The sequence below is a fragment of the Homo sapiens genome, chromosome 2, assembly GCF_000001405.40.
Source record: "Homo sapiens chromosome 2, GRCh38.p14 Primary Assembly".
NCBI lineage: Eukaryota > Metazoa > Chordata > Mammalia > Primates > Hominidae > Homo > Homo sapiens.
Genome location: NC_000002.12, coordinates 2654934 through 2665765, shown reverse-complemented (window position 1 = coordinate 2665765; position 10832 = coordinate 2654934). Strand labels below are relative to the sequence as shown.

Here is a 10832-nt window from a genome sequence, read left to right as displayed (position 1 = left end):
AGGGCCTGCGTGTGCTGGGTATGGGGCTGGGCACAGTGAGGCCTTGGGGAAGGAGGTGAGCCGGGGCTGGGTTCCGTGAGGCAGGGCTGTGTCTAGACCCCCTGCTGTGGAAGGGCACCTGACTCCCCTTCCCACGAAGGTGAGGCCTGCCCCGGTCGCTCCAGCTGTCGGCAGGAGGGAAACCCAGGAGCCCCGTGTCCTCCATCTGTGAGTCAGCCGGGGGCCTCCGTCTGTGTGGTGAGCCAGGGACCTTTGCCTGTGTGAGTCAGCGGCTTCTGTCTCTGTGAGTGAGCTGGCGGTCTCCGTCCATGTGAGTGAGCCAGTGGCCTCCGTCTGCATGAATGAGCTGGGGGCCTCTGTCTGTGTAAGTGAGCTGGCGGCCTCTGTGTGAGTGAGCGAGGGCTTCTGTCTGTGTGTGAGCTGGCGGCCACTGTGTGAGTCAGCGAGGGCCTCTGTCTGTGTGAGTGAGCTGGCGGCCTGTGCACAGCCCGAGTAACTCGGAGGCCTTGGAACCTGTGAGCCTGAGCCAAGGAGCTCCCCGGTGGGTGGGCATGGGCAGGCCAGGGCCCAGGGCTCTGCAGGTCTCACGAGAACTTATAGGGGTGCAGCCGGTGGACCAGGCAGCCTGTGACCCAGAGAGCAGACGACGGCCCTAGCAGGGCCAGAGGCAGCCACTCACACTGGACAGCACGGCAGTGGGGACTGAGAGGTGGAAGCCAGGAAATCCTCTTATGGAGAGAAAGGCAGCCTCAGGTGGACCTGCCCGGGTGATGGCTTCAGAGAAGTAGAGATGAGAGTGAGTGTGCAGGTGTGCGGGGTGCGTGCATATGTGTGTGTGTGCACGCGTGGGGGGATGTGCTCGTGTGGGGTGTGTGCACACGTGTGGGGTGTGTGTACAGATGTGTGCAAAGTGTATGTGTGCTACTAGGTGTGTGTGACTGTGTGCTGTCTGTGTGAGTATATGAGTGTGTCCCCCATGCGTGAGTCTGTGACTGTGCCCCGTATTTTCTGTGTGCATGTGTGTGTGTGAGAGCGAGTCCCACGTCCTGTGTGTGTGCTGTCTGTATCTGTGTGTATGTGAGTGTGTCCTGTGTCTTCTGTGTGAGTGTGTGACTATGTGTGAGTACATGAGTGCCTCCTGTGTTCTGTGTGTGAGAATGTGTCCCATGTCTTCAGTGTATGTGTGTGTGAGAGGGGGTCCTCTTCATGTGCGTGGAAAAATGTCAGTGTATAGCCTGTGTGTGTGAGCATATGAGAGTGTGTCCCATGCCCTCTGGGTGTGTCTCAGTATGGAGAGTGTCCCATGTCCTCTCTGTGTGTGAGTGTGAGTGTCCCATGTCCTCTCTGCGTGTGTGTGTCCCGTGTCCTCTCTGCATGTGTGAGTGTCCCATGTCCTCTCTGTTTGTGTCTGAGAGTGTCATGTCTACGAGTGTGAGAGGGTGCTGTGTCCTCTCTGTGTGTGTGAGAGTGTTTTGTGTCCTCTCGGTGTGTGAGACGGTCCCATGTCCTCTCTGTGTGTCTGAGGGTGTACTGTCTGCGTGTGTGTGTGTCCTGTGTCCTCTCTGTGTGTGAGAGTCCCATGTCCTTTTCTGTGTGTGTGGGGGGGTGTCCTGTCTGCACGTGTGAATGTGAGAGGGTCCTGTGTCTTCTCCGTGCGTGTGTGTGAGTGTCCCATGCCCTGTGTGTGTCTGAGTATGGAGAGTGTATCCCGTGTCCTCTCTGTGTGTGAGTGTGTGTGAGTGTATTCCTTGTCTCTGCGTGTGTGTCCTGTGTGACGCCCTCACACACTCCCACACAGGGAGGACGTGGGACACCCACACACTCACACTGACCTTTACTGGGAGCTGGGGTGAAAAGTGCTCCCTCCCTGAGCAGGAGTCCCGGGACCTTCTCCAGGCACACAGTCAATGCCCGACTGAGTCATAAGTGCAGTGATTCCCAAGTACAGCCTTCGTCTCCCGGCCCCACAGGGAGGTACAGGACTCCGGGCAGCTGCTTGGAAAAGGAGGGGGCTGCCCATGGTGCACAGCGGCTCTGGGAGAGGGTGCACGGTGGATGTGGCCAGGTACGGTGGCCGAGATCATGAGGACAGCGGGACTTTCGTCGATCTACCTGTCAGTGGCGATGTACAACCCCCAACCTGCTGAGGGGCAGAGGCTCAGAGGCCAGTAACCAAAAGGTAGACACTGGCAGATGCCGGAGGTGGGCACTACACCTGACTTCCCTCCCCATGACTCTCGGCAACCCGGCAAGACCCTTACCACACAGACGCCACTCCGAGGGGAGGGGGTCCTCAGGCGTGTGTGGCTGCCTTCTCAGCCCCTGAGGTCCCGCAGAAGTGCCCCATCTTACATGCAAGAACTCTTAGGCAGAACAGGGGCTTGAGAGACCAATGAAGTTTTGACGTTTGCTGAGACAGAACTAAGGTGACTTTTTTTGGCTCACTTTTGTACTTTTTTGAAGACTCTAGGTGCATTGAAATAGTTGTGCTTCCCAGTGTGAAATAATTTGCCAGGAAAAATCCTCAGAAATAAATGGTAAGCAGTGTGTATTGTTTACTGGAAAGGTTGGCGAGTGGAGGAACTGCACCTTCAGAGGGCTCACTCGCCGAGAGCACTGCACTGGACGCTTGGTGCAGTGCATCTGATTTCATTCTCGCAGTAACTCTCTAAGGTAAGAATCATACTCCTCGTTTCTAAAACAGAAAGACTGAGACTCACAGAGGATATGTTATTTGCCCTGCGTCTCCCAGCTAGAAAGTGGTTGAACTGGATGACTTGTGTTGGATGCACGGCTCTCGTTTTTGGCAGGAGAGACTCCTGTGTTTGCTCAGCTTCTGCTCACATGAGTCACAGAGAAGAGGGTTTGTACCCTGCTAGGGCAGGTGAGGGCTCAGGGCCTCCCAGGGGTCTGGGTCATCAGGACAGATACCCTGGGAGCTCAGGACCAAGGGGAGGATGGGCGTGGAGGAGCGGGTCCCCAACTGCCTGGGACATTCCTTCTGGGGCCATGAGCTACCTTTCCCCAGAGTGCGGGCAGGTGTCCTATAAGCCTGCAACCCCCACGGGAAAGCAGACATCGCCACAGCTGGCTCCGCCCTGCAGCACAAACAGGGAATTGTCTTATGTGGAGAGTGGCCTCCTAACCTGCCAGCCCTGTCCCTGCAAGTCTGTGTGGCTGTTGAGGCTGGGAGGCTGGGACGAGCAGACACAGCTGCGGCTCTTGGTTGTGAATGCTCCAGGGACAGCACAAGCTGCGAGCACCAGGGACAGGCGGGTAATGTGCAGGTGTGTGTGTGCTGGTGGGGACTGGGGAGGTAATCAGAGCTTGGTGCAATATAAACAAGAGCTTGTGCAGCCATTTCAGTTGCCGGGACTGACGTGGGCTGCCTGGGGAGCTCGTGTGGATGACAAGGGCTGCCTCGTCTGCCTTGACTCCTGCCGGCAACTCAGGAGAGGCTCATTACTGGGCCCTGCACTTCCTGATTCATCTGAAAGCTGGCCAGGCAGCCTCTCGGCCAGGCCTTGGCACCAAGTCTTCTGGGCAGTGAGCACTGGGTCATGAGATCTGGTTGTTTAAAAGTGTCTCCTCTAAACACTAGCTCAGGAAGCTTCAGGCTAGAAAGCAGGGGCCCCAGGGCAGCCAGCTCAGCAGGGCTGCAAAACAAAATGTCAGCAGAGCCTGTAATCCCAGCACTTTGGGAGGCCAAGGAGGGCGGATCACGAGGTCAGGAGATCGAGACCATCCTGGCCAACATGGTGAAACCCCATCTCTACTAAAAATTCAAAAAATTAGCTGGGTGTGGTGGCACGTGCCTGTTGTCCCAGCTACTCAGGAGGCTGAGGCAGGAGAATGGCGTGAACCCAGGAGGCGGAGCTTGCAGTGAGCCGAGATCACGCCACTGCACTCCAGCCTGGGTGACAGAGCGAGACTCCGCCTCAAGAAAAAAAAAAACCAAAATCAGCAGAGTGCGTGCCCTCACTGGACCCAGCCGCAGCGCCTGGCTGCCTGGTCTACCTAGGGCTGCTGTGACACATTCACACATGTGGTGGCTTCAAACAACACACAGTTATTGTCTCACAGTGCTGGGCTGGAAGCCAAATGCAGGTGTTGGCAGGGCCATGCTTCCTCCACAATCTCTGGGGGAGAATCCCTCCTTGACTCTTCTGGCTCCTGGTGGTTCCAGGTCTTCTCCAGTCCATGGCCGCATTACTGCCGTCTCTGCCTGTATCGCCATCGGGCCGTCCTCCCTCTGCATGAGGCTCTGTGACCTCACCCCTTCCGTCAAGAAGCCAGCGACTGGTCATAGGGTCTACCTGAAATCCTACCTTGATGACATCTGCACACGCCCTATTCCAAACAAGGTCGCACTCACAGGCACCAAGGTTAACACTTGGATGTGTCCCTTTGGGGACACAATCAGCACACAGCACTGGCTAAACTCTATCCAAAGGGGAGTTAATTTGGATAAGGAATGGAGATTCTGGGAAGAAAACCAGGAAGGCAGAGCTAAAACAAATAAACAAATGACAAAGACAGCAACAAAGTAAAGCCTGGGTTTACTTTGTAACCCAGCAATAAAGTAAAGGGTTCCTGAGCTCTCCTGCACCAGGAACGTCTGGAGAGTGATGTCATACCTGCTGTCTGTCCCTCCCCACAGCCTTGATAGCAAGCTGGAGCCATCATTCCCCGGGCTCTGCTGTGGGGGTGACGCCCACCTTATCCTGGTCCAGGACTCACTTTCCTGTGTGTCTCCTGTTCCATCCTTCCTAAGGCCGACCCTGCTTGGTCTGCTGCCCTCAGGGGTCCCCTGCTGCATATCCTTCACCTCCTGCTTCCACAGCTCAATCCCAGCAATGGATTCCCAGGCAACGTGGTGAGATTCCAGAGCTGACTTTCCCGTGCCCCTAGCTCTTGTCTCCAGCACATACTGCACTGCGCCTCTGTGATCCAGATGTGTGTGAGATGGTGTGGTTCTGTGTCCCCACCAAAATCTCATGTTGAATTGTAATCGCCAATGTTGAGGGAGAGACCTAGTGAAAGATGATCAGATCATGGGGCCAGATTTCTCCCTTGCTGTTCTCATGATAGTGAGTTCTCGTGAGATCAGGTTGTGCAAAAGTGTGTAGCACTTCCTCTGTCATTCTCTTTCTCTCTCTCTCCCTCTGACCATGTAAAGACCTGCCTGCTCCCCTTTCACCTTCCATCATGATTGTAAGTTTTCTGAGGCCTCCCCAGAAGCAGAAGCTTGCATAGCCCACAGAACCGTGAGCCTATTAAACCTCTTTTCTTTATAAATTACCCAGTCTCAGATATATCTTTACAGCAGTGTGAGAACAAACTAATACAGGAAATTGGTTCAAGAGAACTGGGGCATTGCTATAAAGAGACCTGAAAATGTGAAGTGACTTTGGAAATGGCTAATGGGCAGAGGTTGGAACAGTTTAGAGGGCTCAGAAGACAGGAAGATGTAAGAAAGGTTGGAACTTCCTGGAGACTTGTTGAATGGTTGTGACCCAAATGCTGATAATGATATGAACAGTGTAGTCCAGACTGAGGTGGTCTCAGATGGAGATTAGGAAATTATTGAGAATTAGAGTAAAGGTCACTCTTGCTATGCTTTAGCAAAGAGCCTGGCAGCATTGTGCCCCTGCTTGAGGGATCTATGGAACTTTGAACTTAAGAGACATGATTTAGGGTATCTGGTGAATGAAAGTTCTAAGCAGCAATGTGTTCAATATTTGGCCTGGCTGCTTCTGACAGGGTGTGCTCATATTCATGAGCAAAAAAAATTACCTGAAACTGAAATTTATATTTAAAAGGGAAGCAGAGCATAAAAGTTTGAAAAATTTGCATCCTGGCCATGTGGTAGGAAAGAAAAACCCATTTTCAGTGGGAGGAATTTGAGCCAGCTTCAGAAATTTGCATAAGTAAAAAAGATCCAAATGTTAATAGCCAAGATGATGGGGAAAATACTTCCAAGGCATTTCAGAGACCTTCACAGCAGCCCCTCCCACCACAGGAGGCCTCCCTGGAGACCTAAGAGAGAAAAATGGTTTTATGGACCAGGCCGGGCCCAGGGCCCCACTGCTCTGTGCAGCTTTTGGACATGACACCCTGTTTCCCAGCCACTACAGCTCCAGCCATGGTTAAAAGGACCCCAGATATGTCTCAGGCCACTGCCCCAGAGGTTGCAAGCCATAAGAAACCTTGGTGGCTTCCACATGGTATTAAGCCAGTGGGTGTACAGAGGGCAAGAGTTGAGGCTTGGGAGCCCCCACCTAGATTTCAGAGAATGTAGGGAAATGTCTGGATGTCCAGGCAGAAGCCTGTTTCAGGGGTGGAGACCTCATAGAGAACCTCTACTAGAGCAGTGTGGAGTTCTCTACTAGGGGAATGTGAGGGGTCTCCACTGGGGCACTGCCCAGTGGAACTGTGAGAATAGGGCCACCATCCTCCAGCCCCCAAAATGGTAGATTCACAGACAGCTTGCACTGTGCCTCTGTAAAAGCTACAGAAACTCAATGCCAAACCTTGAGAGAAGCCATGGGAGTTGAGCTCTACACAGACACAGGGCAGAGGTGTCCAAGGCCTTGGGAGACCACCCGTTGTATCAATGTGGCCTGAATATGAGACATGGAGTCAAAGGAGATTACCTTTGCGCTTTAACATTTAATTACTTCCCTGCTGGGTGTTGAACATATATGGGGCCTGTAGACCCTTTGTTTTGGCCAATTTATCCCATTTGGAATAGGAGAATTTACCCAATGCCTGTAACTTGGAAGTAACCCTGTTTTTGATTTTACAGACTCATAGGTGGAAGGGACTTGCCTCGTTTCAGATGAGACTTTGGACTTGGACATTTGAGTTAATGCTGGAATGAGTTAAGACTTTAGGGGACTGTTGGGAAGGCATGATTGTGTTTTGAAATATGAGAAGGACATGAGATTTGGGAGGGGCCAGAGGTGGAATGATATGGTTCGACTCTGCCCCCACCCAAGTCTCATGTTGAATTGTATTCCCCATGGAATAAAATGAAGGTGATTGGATCATGGAGGTGTACATTCCCTTTGCTGTTGTTGTGATAGTGAATGAGCTCTCATGAGATCTGGTTGTTTGAAAGTGTGTGGTCTCACTCTCTCCCTCTCTCTCCTGCTGGCTCTGTGAATATGTGCTTGCTTCCCTTTCACCTTCTGCCATGATTGTAAGTTTCCTGAGGCCTTACCAGCCTTGCTTCCTGTAAAAACTGTGGAACTGAATTGATTAAACCTCTTTTCTTCCTAAACTACCCAGTCTCAGGTAGCTCTTTATAGTAGTGTGAGATTTGACTACTGCAGTGCAGGACTGGTCATCTCTTGCTCACTCTATTTTGAAGACACTAGATGCTGTTAATCTGGCCTGCTTTATTTATCCTCACTGTCTTTGTATTTTTGGTTTTGCTTTTTGTTCTGGTGCAAGCCTGTTTACATGAAGATTGTTAATTCTATCTATTTTGAAATGGCCAATCTCATAATGATTCTACAAGAAATTCAATAATATTATCCCCACTTCAGAAAATTTTGTTTAAAACCCCTGCCATTCCACAGTCTACACAAGGAGTTAGTTCAATCACTACCTACTCTGCACAGATGAGGAAACTGATTTTGAACAAGTGTGACTGGGAGATTAGATGACATTTCTGCAGCCTGACTGTGGACCCTGAGTTGTATTTCTCTATCTTGCAGTGTTGATAAAAATCACCTACCCCAGGGGGTTCTCCCCAGGCCTTACGTCTCACCTAGCAGATGGTGGGATTTTTATGGATAGGTCACTGGACATTTTCAGGAAGCAAGAGGGGCATCCTCAGGAATGTTTTAACCATGAGGGAACAGAGAATTTGCAGAGATGGGCAGGAGAGGAAGAACATGAAGGAGGGCAGCAACCACCTGGGTACAGGTGTTTATTTTGACCATGGAGGAACCGTGAATACCACCCAATGAGTTTCCTGCCACGTCACCACAGTCACCTCTAAATGACCCTCTAGGGCAGGGGCAATTGTTATTTTCCTCTGAGGTGAGGCACAGCAGGTCAGCAAATGGGAACCGTTAGCTAGCTGTGGGTGTGTCTGGCCTGAAGTCAGGTCTGTCTGTCCTCAAACTGCACTCACAGCTTTACCTTGCTGTGGGTCTTCCCTGCTGGGTGCAGGCGGGGGCTCCTCAGGCAGAAAACACCAGAGAGGTCCTTGGTTCTGAACAGCACTGGGTGGAACATGCCACCCAAGGGAGGTGGGGCTGATGTGCACAGCCTGGGGTGAGGAGGCTGCGTGATCCTTTGTGAAGTGAACACGCAGAAGAACATGTGGGTACCTCTCAACAGAGATGCTGGTGGGGTTTCCTGGGGCATGGCAGCCAAGCATGTACAAGAAGCAGCAGTGGAGCCGTGGGGAGCGTTGGAAGCTGCACCAAATGCAGACCTTGCCTCTGAGGCGCTCTGATGCCTGGGTCCAGTGTCTGCCTCTCTGAGCCACACTTCCTTCCTCGTCGGTGGGGTTGCTATGAGGACCAAAAGACAGCTCCGCGGGTGCAGCGATTGCTCGAGGGAAACACAGTTGAGGTGGAGTCTGGGTGATGTGCTGCCACATGGAGTGCTGCAGCAACTGGGAAGGAAAGAGGGCTGGGAAGAAAAAAAAAAAAAGACTACACCTGGCTCAGGTGTGCTGAATTTGAAGGAATCCAGGTGAAGGTGTTCCACGCACAGAGCCCAGGTGGCAGGGAAGTCAGGCCTGCATTCAAAGGTCCAAGTACCATCTCACTGGACTTTCCATAGACATCCAGTAGTGAATGAGCTCCTCCAGTAGTTTATGCAGAGACAAAACAAAACAGTAAAAAGCTAAGGCCTGAGTCTGAACGGCAAACACAAACAGAACAGACAGAATCAAGAATTCGGGGAGGGGTCGGAGGCTGTTGCAATCTGGGAGAAAGCTCCCAGCAATGTGGGGAAGAGCTGGGCACAGCAGCTGAACTCTGCTGCTCAGGGTATTATGCATACCCTCAAAATGAACCTTTCCTTGCCAGTAACACCAAATGCTTATTGTATTTCCCCTCCTGGCTTTGCAAGTCTATCGATCCTTTCTTTTCTTCCAAAGTGTCTGCAGCCAGTGTAGGAGTGACTTCCCACAAAGTGTTAAGCGACAGTGAGACGCTGGCGGTTTTCCAGGGCACTGAGGCCGTGGGCAGGCTGGCTGGCCCCACCAGGGGAAGTGTTTGCAGTCCTGGTCGATGGGCACACAAGGTAAGCGGCGAGCCCTTCCGGATGGGTTCCTCCCAGGCACAGGCTGCCCTGCTTCACATCCATTTTCTCATAAACCTCAGACTGAGCCCTGAGAGGCTATCATCTGAAGGTTTAAAAATGCCAAATCCAACCCTTTGGGACACAAAAGTACAAGATAAACAGCTCTCTGTTCTGGAATCCGAGCAGCCTGCCACCGTCTTCATTGTCTGCCCTGGCTGTTAACCCAGCGCCGACAGCCACGTGTGAGGGCTCTGTGCTGACCCCCTTGCGGCTGCTCAGAGGCAGAAGTCAGGATTCCCGCGGGGGCTGCCTCTCCGTGGGTCACTTTCCTTCTCTGTCAAGGGCAGATAAGAGCCCCTCTACTCAACACAGTGCAATCTGGAAAATAAATACAACCGTGAATGGGAATATGTTTTGTAAATTTAAGCAATCTGAGTAGTGGAGGCGTTATGAATGCTGCACATTTGGGTACAGAATCTCCCCCTGGAACAAGATGGTCCCTGCATATTGTATTTCTTTCAAAGCTAGCCTTGTCTCCATCAACACATTTTCATGGTTTTATTTTTTCATAGCCTGAAAATGTTTCTCCTGTGTGCTGGTGCAGTCCGGCTATTTTTGAAGAATGCTTGCTCTTGTTAAACAAAGCCTGAGCCCTGTTGGGATGAGGCTGTTTTGAGCTGAGGCAGAGCTAGAAAGACAAGGGTGAAACACTGTGGAGAACCCTCATGGATCCTCTAATCTGTGCATGATCTTGGAGGCCACACTTACACTGACTGCCACCCCCACACTGCTGGGCACCTGTGGCTCAAACGTTTCTCACCGTCTGCCACCTGCATCCCTCGGTCTCGCCCTTGACACTGCAGGGAGGAGCTGAACCCCTGTGCTGTGAGCACTCTTCAGATGGATGAGGATGTAGCAGCAGCCTCCCCCAGGCTTCTCATCACCTCTGCCCTTGTCGCACACTCCTGTTAAGCCCATATCAAATCATTCCATGCATAAAACAAGTTGCCAAGGAGAGAGACTTACTGCTATTTTTTTTTTTTAAAAAAGACCCGAACCCTTCTGTTTTTGTCAAAGTACACAATGGAGTAGAAATTTTGGAAAATAGAGGAAATAGCTTTAAAAATAATCACATATAATCTCCCAGGCCAGAGAAAACTACTGAGAATGTTTCACGGTACATCTCCGTTTCTTCCAGTGCATAGAATTAGCTTCTACATGGTGTTAATAGTATTGTATTGTACTTATTGCTTTATAATATCCTTTTATATTTTAGAACATCCTAGACTTTTTCACAATTTATTAAGTATTCTCTATGACATTGGTTTCGTGGCTTTAAGCATTTCTGCTGGAAGAGCCCTTGATCACTCTCCATTTCTTTCCTTTTCAAATTTTCTTTCACGGCATGCATTGCCATCTGCCATTTTACGATGTATTTAGTGATTTCTTGTCTGTGTCCTCAGCTAAAATAGAAGCTTCAGCAGGATAGGGTCTTTGCTGGTTTTGTCCACTGTTATATTAAAAGAACACAGAATAATAAGTGACACATGGCAGACGGTCCA

The 10832-nt window shown here is 51.2% G+C and overlaps 1 long non-coding RNA gene across 1 annotated transcript, besides 3 other annotated features; it reads left to right on the top strand.

Moving 5' to 3' along the window:
* Positions 381–1073: an enhancer, noted in NCBI's record as "H3K4me1 hESC enhancer chr2:2668465-2669157 (GRCh37/hg19 assembly coordinates)". NCBI's record gives its function as "activates a minimal SCP1, AML or CMV promoter by ChIP-STARR-seq in primed H9 embryonic stem cells {active_cell/tissue: H9 hESC(primed)}" and the evidence as "EXISTENCE:reporter gene assay evidence [ECO:0000049][PMID:30033119]".
* On the top strand, positions 1616–10832 carry LOC107985839 (uncharacterized). The gene is made up of 3 exons (XR_001739253.1): positions 1616–2673; positions 9125–9270; positions 9843–10832. It is a non-coding gene; the product is annotated as an uncharacterized LOC107985839 (long non-coding RNA).
* Positions 3426–3927: an enhancer, noted in NCBI's record as "H3K4me1 hESC enhancer chr2:2665611-2666112 (GRCh37/hg19 assembly coordinates)". NCBI's record gives its function as "activates a minimal SCP1, AML or CMV promoter by ChIP-STARR-seq in primed H9 embryonic stem cells {active_cell/tissue: H9 hESC(primed)}" and the evidence as "EXISTENCE:reporter gene assay evidence [ECO:0000049][PMID:30033119]".
* Positions 7862–8835: an enhancer, noted in NCBI's record as "H3K4me1 hESC enhancer chr2:2660703-2661676 (GRCh37/hg19 assembly coordinates)". NCBI's record gives its function as "activates a minimal SCP1, AML or CMV promoter by ChIP-STARR-seq in naive and primed H9 embryonic stem cells {active_cell/tissue: H9 hESC(naive and primed)}" and the evidence as "EXISTENCE:reporter gene assay evidence [ECO:0000049][PMID:30033119]".